Source organism: Homo sapiens, chromosome 5 (genome assembly GCF_000001405.40).
Source record: "Homo sapiens chromosome 5, GRCh38.p14 Primary Assembly".
In the NCBI taxonomy this organism is placed as follows: Eukaryota; Metazoa; Chordata; class Mammalia; order Primates; family Hominidae; genus Homo; species Homo sapiens.
Genome location: NC_000005.10, coordinates 36209598 through 36229666, shown reverse-complemented (window position 1 = coordinate 36229666; position 20069 = coordinate 36209598). Strand labels below are relative to the sequence as shown.

Here is a 20069-nt window from a genome sequence, read left to right as displayed (position 1 = left end):
TGGGAATCATCAGCATCAGCATATAGATCTCTTTTAAAGCCGTGAAACTAGAGATTGCCAAGGGAGAGGGTAGTGGTCCATACTCACTGAGAGGTGGTTAGTGCCGTTTTAGTCAATCTGTAGCTGGGTAATGATAGTGGTAATCTGAATATTCATGCTCTGTTGGTCCATATTAAGAAATTCTACTCTAAAATAGTTTTTCAAACCTTACTGACTCATGTTGATTTGTTGATTAAATTAAATGAAGGATTTTTCTAGTTATTATCATAGTCAGTGCTTTCCTTTAAAAAATTATTGACATTGGTTGCTTAGTCTAAGTTTAATGAGGCTTTTGGCTAGGCATTAAATTTTGGCACAGGCTGTCTAATCTATTATAGTATATCTTGGTAAGTTAACATCTATTAATTAATTTTCACAATAGCCAAATGCTTCCTCAGCTTCTCTTTTGTGAGAACATAACGAAAATTACAAAGCAAGGACAAAACTATTTAAAAACTCTTAACCCAGTATTCGTAGGCAAAAGATGGGGAAGGTAGGTATCAAAATATTAACACTAATGATTTTGAGCCATAAGATTATATTTGATTTCAATTTTCTTTAAATATGCATTTTCCATATTGTTAGTGTTTTCTTTATAACCTTTAAAAAGTAAAATATGTATTAAAATGCTGTCTAAAAATTAGTTTTACTTTATAGTTCAGTAAGTAATGATTTAAAACAAAATATTTGAGATTGTATATTAGGCTGGGTGTGATGGCTCACACCTGTAACCCCAGCTTTTTTGGAAGCAAGGTGTGTGGATTGCTTAAGCCCAGGAGTTCGAGACTAGCCTGGGCAACATGGTAAAACCCCATTTCTACCAAAAAAAAAAATAAAATAAATTAGCTGGTTGTGGTGGTGTGCACTTGTAGTCCCAGCTGCCTGGGAGGCTGAGGTGGGAGGGCGGCTTGAGTCCGGGAGGCAGAGGTTGCAGTAAGCTGAGATCACACTACCACACCCCGGCCTGGGCAACAGAGCCAGACCCCGTCTCAAAAAAAAAAAAAATCATGTCTAGACAGGTATTTGAAAGACTGATTTTGTTACATAAAGAGGAAAGGTATAAGCTGGGCACAGTGACACGTGCCTATAATCTCATCTACTTGGTAAACGGAGGCAGGAGAATCATTAGAGCCTAGGAGTCCAAGACCAGCCTGAGCAACATAGCAAGACAGCATCTCAAGAACAAAAAAAAGAAAAGAAAAAGGGAAAGGAAAGGTATAAAGGAATTCGGAGGAGCAAAGAAAGTACAAATAACACACTTTTGAATTCTAGCATTCACTCTAGTGGACAAATTTCCTACTTGGTGATTAAATGGGTGTTCACTAAGGATATTTCTGAACTTTTTTCTCTACATTTTACTTTATGGATTATTCATAAGAAACATAGTTAAAAAAATTTTAATGGTAAGATAGTTATAAAATGTTACTCCAACTAGGAAAAATAATTTTTGAAGGATATATGTATATATAAGTTATCCTTTCTAAGGGAGCTAGTCAGCCCTTTGTTTAGATTTCGTAAGGTAAATTCCAAATAGAGTTTATAAATCTGAGAACAAGAGAGAAGCAAATCCAAGTGGAACAAAGGTCATCTAACCGCCTCTACAAGTATTAGTTTATCTTTGGTCATCAAGTAGCCATATGCAGTGTGTTAAAAAGTCATCAAGGCTGAGGCAGGAGAATGGCATGAACCAGGGAGGCGGAGCTTGCAGTGAGCCGAGATCACACCACTGCACTCCAGCCTGGGCAACAGAGCGAGACTCCATCTCAAAAAAAAAAAAAAAGTCATAAAAAAAATAAAAAACTTAAGCTGTAAAACATAAGATTTTGAGATCCTGGTGACTATATGATTCAGAAAACATAATGCTGTATTTGGTATTAAAGCCAAATTATAATTTTCTGATATCAGGCTTTCTAGTTCAATTTGTACTTGTAGGTTTCACAGGTAGTTATTAAAATATATTTTCAAAAAATTATATTTTATACGGGGCTTTTAAAAATCATAATATTAGAACATCATGTGTAATATATATTAGTAAAACAACGTTTCTTTTGTTTTGATATAGCTTGCATTGAAAGGCTCTAGTTACAGTGGACTTCTTGAACGACATCATATTCACACCAAAAATGTAGAACATATTATAGATAGTTTACGGTAAGTCTATGGGATTGGGTCTTGGGTTGGATTTTATATTCAGGACTTCCAGTTTTTATTTTGTACTAGCAGCCCATTCTTAGATTTTTAGTGATGATTGTTATTATAAAATCATTTTCAGAAAATTATATCAAGGTTAATGGATCTGATTTTATAGCATCTTTAAAGAAAAATTTATTGTTCTCTGAAAATGTCACAGGTGTTTTCAATTATTTGGTCTTCCAGAGAAATGCATCTTCTGTAGAGTTAATTCAGTTACACAGCTGGCTTCAACTGTATAATATTTTATTTATTAAAACAGACTAGTGGATTATATGAGTGTTCATTGTAATAATATTTTTGAGTGTTTGAAAATTATAGAAACTTCTGTCCAAAAATTACAGAAACTTCAGTTAATTCAGAACTAAACACAATTATATGTGTACAAGAGAGTCAGTGTGAGAAACATGCGAATTACAAAGTATTTAGTCACTATTCCGGTGTCTGGTACTCAATGAATATTTGTTGGATTTAAAATAATGGCCATTCAGTTTTATAGTTTAAAAAATTGTCACTCTAAGGTGTTAGTCTTCTGGACCATTTTTGTATTATGAATTTAAGCATTAGAAGGAGTAGAGAAAATGAAATTCTAACCAATATTGCTATTCACTAGTGGTTATAAAAGCTTTTAAAGCACATGGAGATTTGGGATATAACTTTCGATTTATTCATATGCTTCCTTAATTATCATAGTTAATTGGCTGTTGTAATTAAATGAAAACAAAGATAATGTTATAAAGCTCCATGTAAATTTGTTTATAAGACACAAATTTATTTTACATCTCTATTGTAATCATCTGCCTCTCAGAAAACATACCCCTGTTATATATATTATTAGTGGAAATTTCATATAACCTTTCCTTTTTTATCCTAGGAATGAGGGAATTGAGGTTCGTCTAGTAAAGAGGAGAGAATATGATGAAGAGACTGTTCGATGGGCAGATGCTGTCATAGCTGCAGGAGGTAATAATTTGACAGAAGTAAAGATGTTGGCATATACAAATGTTTAATACACATTATTTCCAGATACCCTAGGGTCTAGCTATATTGAAGCCTTCAGAGTCTTACCATTAAACACATTTTTGGATTGTTACGATCAAGTTTAAAACTTCTGTTTTATACAAGGCTACATTTTAAATGAATGACGTTACTATGAGGTTCCTTGTGCATATTTAAGGTATGCATTTAACTTCAAATATGATTCAAAGGATCAGTTATTGTATTTTGGTATAATTATGGCAGTTTTAAGAAAAAAATGAAGTTGATAAAGAGTTTAATGAGATGAGGTAAATTCTATTCCTCTTTGGTCCCAATATACTTGTACTTACTTTTTTCTGAACTTTATCATTAAGTTAATGGCTACTGTTTCTAAAGCTTTAAGTTGACAGCAGGTGTTGAAGAGAAAAATTTGAAGTTGGACACATTGGATATGTTTTTATTAAAATAATTTGTGAATTTGGACTGGTGTTATGGGAGAAGGAAAGAAGATTGGCTAATAGAAATTTTTGGATTAGATTAGTGGTTACTAACTGTGGGGTGCTACTAGTATGTAAAGGGACTACCTCTAAAACATTCTACAGTGTCCCCACAACAAAGAATTATTCTGCCTAAATGTAATCTTGCCACTTATGAAATCCTGGATTAGAGTGGGAGAGAGAATCCAAAGGTATAATAGGTAGAAAGGGAGTGGGATAGGCTATAGCGGTTAGCAGGGTGGGGTATGATTGTTAAAACTACTGATTTTCAAAATGGCCAAAAACTAGATTTATAACAGAAATTTGGTTATGTCTTGTATTTTGTCTTATGTTCCTTAGGTGATGGCACAATGCTGCTGGCAGCGAGTAAAGTCTTGGACAGACTTAAACCAGTTATAGGGGTAAACACTGATCCAGAACGGTAAGAAAGAACGTATACATTTTGTTTGATTTGTGTGGTGTGCTTTTTAAGTTTTTTTTTAGGTTATACATACATGCATTTCTGCTTTGATTGCATAGTATCTTTTTATGGTCTGTCTTAAAATTTGGAAGCTATTTTTTATTTTCTTGACCATGTTCACATTCTTGGGCTCTGTTGCTACAGACATTTTACTAGGTGTATGGTGTCTAAGTGGAAGCATCATTGTTCCTGGCCACCATGAACATTAGAACCATGTTCCAGAAGCATTCTAGTAATCAAATTTAGGTATGTAGAACTGAGTAGGATTGTCTTTTATGTAGTTGTTTTCAAGGATATAGCTCTAGTTTTAAGCTCAGGCATGAAAAATATATATACATCTAGCTGGCATTGGTGGTAGGAAATTATGTTATAGGATGGACCAGTTCTCACATTTTAGCTTCCCAGGTAGTTTGGGAGTAGGATCTGTGGCATAATAGACCTGAGTTCTTGACCCAGGTGAGTGTTGGGGACCTTTGGTATTGCTGAGGAGGGACAAGTTAATAATGATCCATTTTCTACCCTTCCTTATGGCTTGTATTTATATTCCTCATTATGCTACCACTGATTTTTTTGGGGGACAGTGACTTTACTGACTTAATAAAAAGACCTATCTTAATAAAAAGACCAATAAAAACACTATTGGCACTTTTTGTTTCCTTCCTTAGCTTCGTGATATTTACCCTCATTCTGTTCTAGCCACCCACAGCCATGACTGTACCTGGACTTTATGGTGATCTGGAATTCCCTATCTCTACAATCCTAATTAATTCCACTCTGACTGTAGCCTTCTACCTTAACAGCAGCCTTATTACTTTATCCCACTAAATCTGCCCTTTGACTTTCAGTATTTTGATCACCTCCATTTTCTCCACTTATTTCTTCCTCACTTCATTCACTTTCTTAAATATTTCTTTCTTGCTTTCTTTCTTTCTTTTTTTTTTTTTTTGAGACAGAGTCTTGCTCTGTTGCCCAGGCTGGAGTGCAGTGGCGCACTCTCAGCACACTGCAACCTCTGCCTCCTGGGTTCAAGCAATTCTTCTGCCTCAGCCTCCTGAGTGGCTGGGACTATAGGCATGCACCACCACACCTGGCTAATTTTTGTACTTTTAGTAGAGATGGGGTCTCACCATGTTGGCCAGGCTGGTCTCAAACTCCTGATCTCAAGTGATCCACCCACCTTGGCCTCCCAAAATGCAAATGTTTCTTCATCATTATCTTTCTGCACAATTCTAGATCAATCTGACCATCATCCTTTCTACTTCTGCATCAGTACTGCTATGGTCATCTGGGGAAAAAAAGATCATTGGGTTTGGTGGCACTTCCAGTTTGTAGTCTTCAGCACTTGGCGGTGGACTTAGAGTTGCACACAAACTTCCTATGTAGCCCTACTCATCTCTCTTCCCCATTCTCTGTGGTGGCTGCTTCAGTAGTTCAACTTTTGCATTCACTTTGCTTCCCTTATCCTTCTTTCTTCAATAAACCCACCTTGTTTTCACAGAGGAATTGAAAGTCACTGGATTAGAACTACTTCACCTTTTCTCTTGCTTAAAAAAATCTTGTCCTGTCTTGTCTTTTTTTTCTCTCCCTTCACACTTGACTCCTTTTAGCCTAAAAAGACTTGTTCAAGACTCCTGTTTTTCAAGAAAATTTTAAAAATCCTTTACCCTGTGTCACTCTCTTGGTTATTATCTCTTTTCCTTCCACTTATCCCCAAGCTTGGTATCGCCACTCCTTCAGTTCTCAGTTATTTTCTAAAACTTTGCAGTTTTTTTATGGATTTGCCCCCAACCAGTTCATTGACGTTGCTTTTGCCTTAGAGATCAGTGATATCCTACTTACCGAATCTACTGGATATTTTAGTCCTTGTCTTACCTGATTTCTGGGAAGTTTTGGTGCTAACTGCTCCCTTATTTCAACTGTACTTTGTTGGCATTTATGATACCTTTTTCTTCCTATCTCTGTGACTACTTCTTTGTCTGTATTTCTTTTGAAGGATCTTACTATTTGGTTACTGGCTAAATACTGGTGTTTTTACATATTGTGCTCTGGGCCATCTTTTTTCTTCTTCAATTCCTATATTGTCTCTAGGGAGGCTGATTAATACTGTGGTATTATTGGAGTCCCCTGGGACTCCAGAATCTTTATTCCAACACTGATCTTCTTGCTTCCATTCTTACCCTTATAGTTTCTTAGTTCTTCTCCCCACTGCAGCCAGCGTGATTATTTTATGGAAGTTTGATAATATTATGTAACTTCTCTGCCTAGATTTTTTTTTTGTCGTGGCTCCCCATCTAACTTAGGGTAAAATCTACCTTTTTACTATGAATAGGGTGACAAACTTCTCCTGGTTTTCTTGGAACTTTCCTGGTTTTAGCACTGAAAGTCCTGTGTCCCAGGAGAATGTCAGTCCCAGGCAAAGCAGGGAACAGTTGGTCACCTTAAATGTGACATACAGGCTGTACATTATCTGGCCCTTTACCAGTTCTGTCCTTATTGCCTATTATTTTTCCCTTCATTCTATTCTAGCCACACTGGCCTCTACTTTGGATATATCCAGTGGTATTAAAATTGTAACATGTACCAATAAACTCTCCTTTCCTCTCTCCCATCATTCTTGATGAATGAAATCATCTGTGCTGAAGCTGTAACTACCTCTCCCTCACTCTATCATCAAATTGGTCCTAAGTTCTAGGGAACTTACTTTTGAGTCCATCTCTTGCCATCCTCGCTGCCACTAAAAATAGCTCAGCCCTTTATAGTTTGTTTAAATTACTGAACTAGCTTACAGTCTCTCTCCTTCTAACTCATCCTTTACACATTGCCTTAGTCTTCTTTCTAAAGTGCAGATCTAATTGATTATATCCACTTCTTATTAAATCTTTTAGAGTTTCCCATGACCTTCAGGATACATTGTAAATTCCTTAGCATAATACATATTATCTTTCACTGTCTCTTGCCTGTTTGCTTTTCTAGTTTCACCTGTCCTCATATGTCCACAGGCATGACACATTCTTTAGCTTAAAAAATATATTTTTGGAAACTTTTCTAGGATCAGCCTGGGATCCTTTCTAAAAGGCTGTTCTTAACTGCAAAATGTAACTATATGAGTGTCCACCAACATGCTGGTTAGAGGCTCACACAGGGATGCTTTTACTCTGGTGGGGAGCTTTGTTGATATGATGACCCAAGGCGTGATTTGAGAGTAGGTGAAAGAGTTCTCCAGAAGGCCTATGTCCCCCTAACCCACCCACCCATGCCTTTGTATGTGCTTTTGTCAAAAGTTCCCTTATACCACTTACTCACTTCTGTGTTTCTTGTTTGTTCAAGACTGGTGTTTCTCCTGGGTTGTAATTCCCTCTACAGAAAGCACTTATCCCTATATATTTATTTTCTGTTTCTTTTTCTCTTTCATTAGACTATAAATTCCTTGAGTATAGGACCTTGTATTTTAATTTCTCTGTCACTAGCATAGTTTTATACATAGCTGGTAGGCAATAAATGAATTGAAAAATGAATGATTGATTCAGTGATTTTAGGGAATAGGGATAGAACCCCAGTCTAGCTGAGTAAATATTCCCTGAATGTAAATAATAGAGATCATTGGTTCAGTAATTAATTTTTAATTGCCATCAGTGTTGATGCATTTGGGTTTTAGAACTTCTTAATGGCTTATTTTTATATCATTAAGGTAAAAGATCACTTTAGTGATCATATGTTACACAGTTTATTGAACTATATTTTCTTTTGGAAACTGGCTTCATATTCATAAATTTGTGGGAATTTGAAGCTGGCAAGCAATTGTTAATATTGTCATCTCTTCTCTATTTTCTAGCTAGAAGAACAGGTGTTAGAAGTTCTTTGGTTTCTCTTCTTGCCTCCAGGCAGATATGTTAAATTGCCTTCTGGTTTTGTGTATGCTTCAAGTTGTCTGATTTCTTTATCTTAAATATAGTGGTGTCTCAGTCCTTAAAAAAAGCCCAGAAGTTAATGTTCAACTTAAGTTTTTTCTCCTATTTATTAGTTGTCAAATGCTGCATAACTAATCACCCCAAAACTTAGAGGCTTATGACAGTAACAGTGTATTATTTCTTACGGGTTGTGCATGTCGGAGTTCAGGAGCAGTTTGGCTGGGTGGTTTTGGCTTGAGATCTCTCCTGAGGATAAGTAGATGTCAGCTTGGTCTGTAGGCATCTGAAGGCTTGACTTGGGCTGGAGGATCCACTTTCAAGATGGCCCACTCACATGGACTCATCTAAATCAAATGTGTAATTTCTATCCATCTCTTCTGTATTCTATAGCCACTCTACCGAGCCTGGTAAATAATTACAACATTTGAAAGCTTAATATTCAAAATGGGATAGAGGGCATGTGGTAGTCAGCCTCCAAGGTAGCTTCCTAGTATTTAGGTACCCTTTAATGTACTCCTCCCTGCCCCCCAATATTCAATCAAGGATGGCCTGTGTGACCAGTAGAATATGATGTGAGAATGTGTAGGTTCCAAGGCCAGGTCATAAATGGTATTGCAGCATCTGTATTGGTCTTTAGGATTGTTCATTGTGGGGTAGGACAGCCACCATGATGTGAGGATACTCACAAGCAGCTCTGTGGAGAGGCTCACGTAGAGGGTGATTGAGGCCTCCTGCCAATGGCCAGCACCAATTTGCCAGCCATGTGAGTGAGCAACCCTGGAAGTGGTCGTGCTAGTCCAAGTCAAGCCTTCAGATGCCTGCCGCCCTAGCTGATATCTGACTGTAACCTCATGAGAAAGTCTTCTCTCTGCAAGGGTTTTAGACTTGCAGTTGACCTCAGCAGGTATTATTCTATCAAATGACTGTTGATACCTTTTATATACTTAACATTGTGTGAACTATTACAATGAATATAAAAATTTAAAAACCTAGGCCTTACGCTTTCTTAACCTCAGTGTTGACCTGCTTAGATAAAGAAGTTGACTATTCACAACTTTGTAAAAACACTTTTCTGTGCCCTTCACGCTTACAAGTTGATTTACATTTATTATCAGGAGTTTGTTTTGCTAAGCCTACCCTCAGCCTTTTCTTCAAGATTGGAGTATCATTAAATGATGATGACTGAGCCTTCTGGACATCTTTAGGTGCCACATACTCTCATCTACACCAACCAATAGGCAATCTTACCACCTTATAATTTGCAATGGTTTGTTTTAATTTGTCTTCCACATCAAGCTATGAACTCCTTAAAGGAGTTTCATTATTTATGTATTTTTGAATAAATGAAGGATTACATTGGATTAAGCTTTCTCAGTTCTTTTTTAGTGACTTAGGATATCTTAAATGACATTTCAGAAAGGATTATGGTTCAAAACATTTCACATAAATATTTTGATTCCTTTTGAGATTGCTGGTTTATCCTGATTTTGGAGATGAGGAAGCTGATGCTAAAGTGACTTGCCCAAAGTTAATAGTTAAATAATTTAAAGGTTAGAATAAAAATTGGAAGGTTAGTAGTTAAATAATGATTTGAACAACACTGTACCATTAAATAACTTTACAGGGTAATTAGTAGCAGATTTGCTGCTATTTTTAGTTTCATTGTAACGTAGAAACTCACATATTATTATGTATTATGGCATTAAAGCTGGATGTAGACTACTAATTCTATCTGGTCTTTTTTGTTTTTATTTAAAGAACACAATTTTGTGGCAAAAAATGGAATATAGGGTAGACATTTTTAGAATTTCATTTCTTATTTTTATAGCTTAGTGATACCTTTTGATTAAATTTTTTTGCTTCACCTTTTTTCTTTTCCTCTTTATATCACCAAAAAATTCCTGTTAAAATATAGGTCTGAGGGTCATTTATGCCTGCCCGTTCGATATACACATTCCTTTCCAGAAGCCTTACAGAAGTTCTATCGTGGTGAGTTCAGGTAGGAATTTCTTACGGTTGTTCTTATGTAAGTATCTTAATAAGTATGTGCCATTAATAATGCTGTTAAAAAACAGAACAAATCAGGCAGGGCACGGTATCTCACGCCTGTAATCCCAGTACTTTGGGAGGCCGATGCGGGTGGATCACTTGAGCTCAGGAGTTTGAGACCAGCCTGGGCAACATGGTGAAACCTTGTTTCTACAAAAAATACAGAAGTTAGCTGGGCATGGTGGCAAGCACCTGTAGTCCCAGCTACTTGCGGGGCTGAGTTGAGAGGATCACTTGAGCCCAGGAGGTAGAGGTTCCAGTGAGCCGAGATCATGCCACTGCACTCCAGCCTGGGTAACAGAGTGAGACTGTGTCTCAAAACAAACAAACACACAAAAAACCAGAACAAATCAGATAATGTTTGGATTACTCCATAGATATAACAGTAGCCATTAAAAGTAATGTATTAGCTGAGTCACAAATAGGTCTAATTTACCTTCTCCTAGTCCAGTTGGAATTGTGGAGAGAAACCCTGACAAATATTGGTTGGCCTATAATATAACTGCATATAGAAATTTTTTTTCTCCTTCAGTGAGATAGCAGGCATGTCTCTACTTTCTTAACCTCGTTACATGTCCTTATCAGTTTAGTGGAAAGGTAATTAAAACTTTGGCTAAAATTGTTTGAATTTTCAGATTTTATATTTTTTATCTTTATCTCCCATCTAGTAATGATTGAGAGCTGGATTTAATCCAACCATGCTGAGATTCCTGGTATCTGTCTCACATAAAAGTATTTCTTAAGCAGTGGGGATGGGATTTTTAAAAGTTTCTTTTACTTAATGTGTTCAGTGGTCAGACCATCAGGAAAAGAGGAAGGTGGAGGAAGGAGCATGAGGTTGGCCAATTATATTTGAGAGAGCTAAGTTGGACTACTTTTTATTTCCTGACTTGGACTAGATTTTATAGTTGGGGAAAGCTTTTCCCACAGATGTTTGTGAAGTTGTATTAGATCTTCTTTTCAAGAATCATTTCATTACCAGTAATTCTAGTTTCTAGTCATTTCAGAAGTTTGACAAGAAATGGCTAATTTATAGCTACCAAGTGGAAGTATATTTTTGTATACTTACCTAGCAGAATCTGTCCCATTGACTTTCGATACATTGATTATCAGTTTTGAAATCAATTAAACCTGATTGTTTTTTTCCTTTTACCAGAGATGTTATTTAAATTTTTAGGTGTAATCAACACTTTTATTTATTGTTTCTTAATCCTTTTTTCCTTTTATTGTTTTAAAAAACCTCCATTATAAAATTTGTGGAGAGGGATTTTTATCTAATCCAGCCATCTGAACACAATATTATTTTAATTTAAGAATGCTTTCCTTTTTGTATAATATTTTTTGCTGAGCAAAGCACAAGCTATATCTAGCTCAGTATCTTGGACTTTATGGGTTCTTGATAGAGTTTGACTTAATTTAAGTTACTTGGGAGATTTTGTACAAGCACATTAGGTGTTTCCGTTATAATTGAAAAGAGAATAAATATTCAAATCTGTCATTGATAAGGAAGCTATAGGCTTTAGGTGTTTCTGATATAATTTATTCATGGAATAACTGGTAACTAGTTTTTATTAACTATTTAATTTGGTTAAATTATTATAATGTCTACTCTTTAATTTATTCTATTTTAACATAATTTGCCTTTTCTTCATTTTTCTAAGGTGGTTGTGGAGGCAGAGAATCAGGTTATACCTTGAAGGGACTGGCATAAACCCTGTACCTGTGGACCTTCACGAGCAGCAGCTAAGCTTGAATCAGCACAATAGAGCCCTTAACATTGAAAGAGCTCATGATGAAAGTAGGTGGATTGGGCATCAGATGTGTTTGGGGAAATATTTAACTCATAGCTCCTTTGACCTCAAATTTTTTGATGTAATAATTTACTTGTTTTTAGTGTCATTAATAGCACTTAACAAAGTACAGTGAATTACTTCAGTTGTAAAGTTTATTAGAATCTGAAGTAAATAATAGCATATTTCTAGAAATGTTTTCTAGGACAGATTTGAAAACTAGCTGATTAGGGAAGGATTGTAAAGTATCTGATAAGATAGTTGATGTTTGAGAAAAGATTCTTGGCCTTAATCTTTGAAATGTCAAAAAAAAAAGCAGTAGAGATGAAATGAGCTAATCTGTGGAAGATTATGATGGTTATACATGTTATATAGTTATACTTAAATATATTTATTGGGAAATTTTGCATTCCAGCCTTAGGATTTGTGCTTGAAGTATTTGTGTAGCTTAGAGAATATTAGCATAAGGTGATTTGGCAGCTTTTTTTGTTAGGAGGGTTAAAGCAAATTCTCCATTTTGAGCCATATTTTCCCACTTTTTATAGCAAATGTAGGACTTTATTGATGCAAGAATATCCCAAGAGAAATCTTAAATATTTGTAGACTGTTTAAAAAGATACAGTTTTCTCCTATGTTTTATTTTCTGGATAAATTTATCAGGAAAAGCTACTTTTACATTTTTGCTTTCTGCCTCTGCTCTCTCATGGTACCTGATGTTTATATCCCCTTATTCCAGAGTTTTTCATGGTGACTTATAGCTTAATAGGTTAGCATGTTTCTAAGATATGTGTTTATGTTGTGTTTTAAAGGTTCTCCTCCAAAAAAAGAATTCTATTTAAAAAAATCTTAAGAAATTATATGCACATGAACTTCTATTACTGTTTTTGAAAGTCTGCAATAACTATTAAGTACAATTTAAAAATAATAGTTAGAAATTTTAATCCCTCACTGAAAGAAGTTACTTCTACCACTAATAGATGGTAGATTTGACTGTCTTCACCAGCAGTCTTATAAAAAGATATAGATTGGTATATAAAGAGTCACTGCTCAGATTCCTCAGATTCACTGTGTTTAGTTTATAAATGAAGTTAATATTTCATATATAGAAACATACAAACTTAGTGAATCATAGCTCAGCATCTAGGATGTTCACATCTGATTAATGGTAGTTCGAGAAAAAGAACAGAAAAATGTTCAAAATCAAAAGATTATACATGATGATTTCTCAAAACAGGCAGGGGAAATTATTCAGCACGTTGGTCTAGGCAAAGATTTTATGGCTAAGACTTCAAAAGCACAGGCAACAAAAACAAAATAGACAAATGGAACTATATTAAACAAAAGCTTCTGTATAACAAAGGAAACAAGAGTGAAGAGACAGCCTATAGAATTGGAGAAAATACTTGCAAACTATTCATCTAACAAGGGACTAATATCCACAATATACAAGAAATTCAGACAACAAACAAACAAATAATCTCATTAAAAAGTGGGAAAGTCTCTGAATAGAAGTTTCTCAAAAGACATACAGATGACCAACAGCTATATGAAAAAATGCTCAACGTCACTAATCATCAGGGAAATGCAAATCAAAACCACAATGAGATATCATCTCTCCCCAGTTAGAATGGCCGTTATCAAAAAGACAAAAATAACAAATACTGGCAAGGATGTAGAGAAAAGGGAACTCTTGTACACTGTTGGTGGTAATGTAAATAAGTAAAGCCATTATGGAAAACAGCATGAAGGTTTCTCAAAAATCTAAAATAGAACTCCCATACAATCTAGCAATCCCACTACTGGCTATTTATCCAAAGGAAAGGAAATCAGTATAGCAAAGAGATACTGGCGCCTCATGTTTGATGCCGCCCTATTCACAATAGCCAAGTATGGAGTCAAAGTGTCCATCAGTAGATAAATGAATATGGAAAATGTGTATATATACACAATGGAGTACTCTTCACCCATAAAAAGAATGAAATCCTGAGATTTGCAGCAACATGAATGGAACTGGAGGTCACTATGTGAAGCGAAATAAGTCAAGCATAGAAAGACAAATATCATATGCTTTCATTCATATGTGAGAGCTGAAAAAGTTGATCTCATGAAGATAGAGAGTACAGTGATAGTTACCAAAGCCTGGGAAGGGTGAAAGGTGGGATAAACAGAGGTTGGTTAATGGGTACAAATATGCACTTAGATGGAAGGAATAAGTTCTAACGTTCAATAGCATAGTAGGGTGATTATAATTAACAATTTATTGTATATTTCAAAATACCTCATTTCAAAATAGCTGGAAGAGAAGATTTGAAATATTCCCAACACAAATGACAAATATTTGAGGTGATGGATATCCTAAATACCCTGATTTGATCATTATACATTGTATGCATGTATCAAAATATTACCTGTTCTCCATAAATATACACAGTTAGTATGAATCAGTTAATACTTTTTAAAAATTTCAATTAGGAAACTTAGGCAAGAGTCTTTGAATTGAAAGGACCCACAAAGTGTTTCACATAATTAATGGTAAAATGTTCTACACCAAGGTTTGTCAGAATACAAACAGCTACTGCAAGCTTCCAGAGAGGAGGAGGAGATGACTGGAGCAGATTATTTCATATACACTTATCCCTTGGTGTCTGAGGGGGATTGGGTCTAGGACCCTCTGCAGATACCAAAATTCGAGGATGTTCACATCCCTCATATAAAATGGCATAGTATTGGCATATAACCTATGCACATCCTTCCCTATACTTTAATAATCTCTGGATGATGTATAATACCTAACACAATGTAAATGCTATATAAATAAAGACTGGTTTTATTAATATAGAGAGATGAATTGGTTTAATAAACAACCCCAGAATTCAGTGACTGAATGCAAAAGCTTATTTTTAACTCATCTCACTGTCCAAGGAGTTTTCAGGCAACCAAGGCTGCTGCCAAATAGTGGCTGCTACCGTATTTTAAGGCCTCTGAGTCTTCTGTTGGATCCTCTGCATCTTGTGGGGAGAAAACAGAGAACATAGAAGATCTTATGGGAAGTTTTAGGAACTAGGCCTTTTCATTACTTTTGTCCACATTCTGTTGGCCATTACTAGTCACATGGCTCCACCTAGTGCAAGTAGACCTGGAAATAAAGTTTAGCAATATGACAGTGTGAGAGAATTACACAGTGTAGTAGTTTGTGTCACTAGTATTACACTTCTGTGTTTAAAAATACAAATTATAATTTTGTAATCTATTCTCTTGGATAAAAAAGTAATCAGTGGCTGGGCACGGTGGTTCACGCCTGTAATTCCAGCACTTTGAGAGGCCGAGGTGGGCAGATCACCTGAGGTCAGGAGTTTGAGACCAGCCTGACCAACATGGTAAAACCTCGTCTCTACTAAAAATACAAAATTAGCCAGGCGTGGTGGCGCATGCCTGTAATCCCAGCTCCTCAGGAGGCTGAGGCAGAGAATCTCTTGAACCTGGGAGGTGGAGGTTGCAGTGAGCCGAGATTGTGCCATCGCACTCCAGCCTGGGCAACAAGAGCTAAACTCCATCTCAAAAAAAAAAGTAATTGGTATGGAGTCTTATCTTTTCATGTCCCATTGTGGCAAGTTTTAAATGAACACAGTTCTGTGATTAGATAAGGTTTAGTAGTCAATTAGTATGAAAAAATAAGCAGAATTAAGATGATTAATGAGATTTGAAACAATTTTATTTATTGTCAAACTCATTTGACAAAAGTTTTGAATTGAAATTGAACAAGCACATGTAATAAAAATGTAATATGGAGAGATAAATTAGGATGAGGGAAAATGGGAATAGAGGTGGAAAGTCAAGACCGCATAAAAGGGAAACATGGTTACAGTTTGATGGTGAGAGCTCAAATTTACTGGTAATATTTCATGAGTACCTATTGTTGAGCATTTGTAGGAAATCTGTGGGGATAGTAATCTAAAACAAATTTCATTAGTAATTAAGGAAAAGTAATTTAAACAATAAATTTTAGCCATTTATGTTTGTAAAACTGTCAAGAATGAGAATGTGAATATATGTAGTACCTAAGACAGTTTAAAGCCAGTTTTATTCTTATGTGCAATCAAATTTGATTAAACATATCAAATCCATATATATATATATGCATGCATATATAGCTTTTTGTATCAAGGTCTTTCTCTGTATTATGAAGTTGAGCTGATAATTTAGGTAAACAACAAGTGCTCCAAGGGTACTTGGTATTGTAATATCAACTTGTTATATTTGAAAGAATAATTGGGTTGCCTTTAGGCAGTTATAGTCCAAAAGAAATGAGAAAAATATAATGTTCCATTTAATAAACATAATAAACAGAAGAATATAATAATTAGGCTACAAAGTCAAAGGAGAAGAATAGATCAATGTTGTCTTGGTGACAGTGGTGGTTTTATTAGTGTATTTGGTAACTATAGTGTATTAGGTAACTATTGTTGTATAACAAATCACTCAGTTTAGCATCTTAAATGTAAATATTTATGACCTCACACAGATTATAAAGGTCAAGATTCTAAGAGTAGCTTAGCTAGTTACTTCTGGTTTAGGCAGGAGGTGACAATCAAGCTGTTGGCCAGGACAGCAGTATATAAAGACGACTGGAACTGGAGAACACACTTTTTTAGCTCATCACATGGCTTTTGGCAGAAGGCTTCAGTTCCTCACCATGTTGGTCTCTCCAAAGGGTTGTTCATGTTATCTCTTCCTCTAGAGCAGGTGATCTGAGAGAAAGAGAGTGGCCAAGGTGGAAGCAATAGTGTCTTTTCTAACCTGATCTCAGAAGTGATATGTCATCACTGCTGCCATATTCTGTTGGTCACATAGAGCAACCCTAGTATGATGTGGGAAAGAGAGTGTGAGTATATGTATTCACAAAATTGTGAATACCAGGGAGGCAGGAATCACTGGGGACCAGCTTGGAGCCTGCCTACCACAATTGGGATGGATTTTTAAACATTAACTTAGTAGGAATTGTGGAGGAGACAGAAAAGTGAACTTGTCTGACAGCAAACTTGTCACAAGATGCTTGCCTAGTGGGAGATACTTGAGTCCAATAAATCTGATAGTTGTGACATTGAGGATACAGAGTTGCCATTTCCAGTTGGAAACTAATAAAAGAAGTAAAGGGAACCATTTGAAGGGGACAGTCACAAATTTGAACAAGAAAGCACTGGGAATCCTTTGGAGGATTTTATATGATGGTGTAATGTTTAAGTAATTATGAAGGAAGATTACTTTAACTGTGCACACAACCCTATAGATTCAAAAAAAGAAAACATTTTTTTAGGAGTTATGAAGGGGGATGTGGAAATATTCCACCAATGCTGCTGTTGCTAAAAACACTCTTGAGGTTTCCTTATTTGGAAAAAAAAGTCTGATTTCTTAACATACCTGATTTGGTTTCCATCATCCAAGCCATGCATGTCATTTGCTGCTTAAATCCAAAATAGTTCTCTTTTTAATTGGTAAGTTATATCTCTGAAGCTTCCAAGATAAAATTAAGTGTAACAACAAGAATCTTTTGAGATGGATAAATATAGTTCATCACTCTTGAGAAATTGCTTCAAGAAGAATTAAGGTTTATTTTGCAGAGAGAGGGCCTTCATTACAGGTGTAAGTTTAGGTTCCTTTAAGGTTTATATTGTGGATGCTTTAAGTAAAAGATAATTTAAATGTTAACTGTATTAAAGTATGTGATTCTTTTAAAAACAAAAATATAAAAGTTGTAGTGTTTTATAAAATTTTTATAACATTTCTAGAAATCAAGGAGCTATCTTGGATTTTCTTTGTCTTAAATTACATGCAGGGTCTGAGGCTTCAGGACCCCAACTTCTGCCAGTGAGAGCACTAAATGAAGTCTTCATTGGGGAGAGTCTGTCATCCAGGTACTTTTAAACCTGTGATCTTGAGCATGGAATTTAATGTTTTAGTGCTTTTGGATATTTATTCAGTTTCTACAACCTGGCTAAGATTTGTGAATAATATTTTGCAAGTAATGGCAGTTCATTATTTAATGAAATATTTCCAAAACCTTCATAGATGTTAATATGTATTAAGGGGAAAGAATATTCTATGACAAAAAAGTTTGTGAAACCCTAGATTAAATAAAGTTATTGTACTGTGTCCCAGAGCCTTTAATCTGTTTATATAGATGCTTTATTATTTTTTTTTTTTGAGACTGAGTCTCACTCTGTCGCCCAGGCTGGATTGCAGTGGCGTGATCTTGGCTCACTTCAACCTCTGCCTCCCAGGTTCAAGCAATTAGCCTGCCTCAGCCTCCCGAGTAGCTGGGACTACAGGTGCATGCCACCACACCTACCTAATTTTTTATTTGTAGTAGAGATGGGGTTTCACCATTGTTGCGGGAAGTCAGGGACCCTGAACTGAGAGACCGGCTGAAGCCACGGCAGAAGAACATAAATTGTGAAGATTCAATGGACATTTATCAGTTCCCAAAATTAATACTTTTATAATTTCTTATACCTGTCTTTACTGCAATCTCTGAACATAAATTGTGAAGATTTCATGGACATTTATCACTTCCCCAATCAATACTCTTATAATTTCTTAAATATTGGGGGCTGGTTCCCCTGATACACCATGTCGGCCAGGCTGGTCTCAAACTCCTGACCTCAGGTGATCTGCCTGCCTCGGCCTCCCAAAGTGCTGGGATTACAGGTGTGAGTCACTGCGCTTGGCCAGGTGCTTTATTAATGTTTTATTTTTATTCTTTAGAGATGGCATCTTACCATGTCTAAATGTTGCCCAGGTTGGCCTTTAAATCTGGATTCAAACTATGCTCCTGCCTCAGCTTCCTGAGTAGCAGGGACTAGATGTGCATGTCACTGTTCCCAGCTTATAAATATTTAAGAGAGTAATATAGTAAGTATAAATTTGCAGTTGATAGAAAACTTTTATAGGCAGTTCATATTAAGATTTCCTATTAGTGCTTCTTAAAGCTGATTTGTTTGCTTGCTTGTTTTTATAATTTGTTTACTTGTTTTTAACCAGGATCCAATTAAGGATCACACATTGCATTTGGCCATCATGGCCTTTTAAATTTAAGAACACTTCCTTAGCTCCATCCTGTTTTGTCATTCATGATATTAATATTTTTGAATGGTCTAAGCCAGTTGGATTGCAGAATATCCCTTATTTTAAATTTGTATGATTTTTTTTCATGTTAGATTCGGACTAGGCATTTTTGACACAAATGCTCCATAGGTGATGTTGTATCCTTTTTAGTGTAACACATCATAAGGCAAGTGCATTGACAGTTCAAGATTATAACCATTATTGCAAAAATTAAGGTTAATGTAGTTCCTCATTAGGAGTGTAAAAATGTGTGTGTTTCATTACCGGCAGAAGCTGTTTTGTGGGACTTGAATATAACTTAGGCTTACATTATCAACATAATTTTTTTGGAAAACATTTTTGTGGAACACAGTGACGAGCTGTAAAATGACTACTGTGATATAAAGTTAACTCTTGGTAGTACTTTAGAACCTGGCTTCTCATCCTTGTAGATGTAAGTAAATTAAGGGTAGAAGATTAGAGATGAGTTTTATTTGCTACTTTCCTGCTACTAGAACCATGTGAGTGGCCCTTTGAAGATTATGTTGTTGGATCCCTAGTTTACTAAGAGTTCCATAAATTCTGAAATTTTGTTTGCTGGAAGTCATATCCTTTCATAAGAACTTTAATTATAGTGAGAAAAATTTGTCTTAACTAAAAAAGATATTCACATTGTAGCCAATGACTCAACTCGGGTTGTGCCGAAAAAGAGTTGAAGTTTGATTCAGCGGAAGGGTTTGAACAGTTTCTTTGATTTGTAATTAGTTTGTTTATGTAATATTTAACAAAAATACCTCATGCATGTGCTATGTGTAATATGTGAGTCACTAGGGATGTAAAGATGAATAACAAAGATAGTGGTATCTTAATTTTTTGGAGAGTAATACATAATTTAAAAAAGAGTTAAAAGTATAGTAAAGTATAAAAATATACTTTAACACAGCAAGACTTATGCTATATATAAAGTTTTCTCTTTTGCTACATATAAAGTTTGAAGCAATATGGACATGAATTATAGATACTATGTGGTAGTTGAGAGAAGAAAGAAAATTTAACT

At 35.5% G+C, this 20069-nt stretch overlaps 1 protein-coding gene and 1 long non-coding RNA gene across 9 annotated transcripts in view; one reads left to right on the top strand and one right to left on the bottom strand.

The window, feature by feature from the left end:
* Positions 1-20069, top strand: part of NADK2 (NAD kinase 2, mitochondrial) — a 49691-nt gene that overhangs the window by 12613 nt on the left and 17009 nt on the right. For all 8 annotated transcript variants that reach the window (NM_153013.5, NM_001287341.2, XM_047416706.1 and 5 more), the window contains exons 2-7: positions 2102-2190; positions 3104-3192; positions 4044-4125; positions 9988-10071; positions 11783-11919; positions 17745-17823. In NM_153013.5, coding sequence (NP_694558.1) covers positions 4055-4125; positions 9988-10071; positions 11783-11919; positions 17745-17823 — 371 coding nt within the window. In that variant the 5' untranslated portion in view covers positions 2102-2190; positions 3104-3192; positions 4044-4054. The remainder of the gene's footprint in view (positions 1-2101; positions 2191-3103; positions 3193-4043; positions 4126-9987; positions 10072-11782; positions 11920-17744; positions 17824-20069) is intronic.
* On the bottom strand, positions 7766-8612 carry NADK2-AS1 (NADK2 antisense RNA 1). Its single transcript, NR_170324.1, has 2 exons — positions 8258-8612; positions 7766-8129 (listed from the first exon to the last, which is right to left on the bottom strand). It is a non-coding gene; the product is annotated as an NADK2 antisense RNA 1 (long non-coding RNA).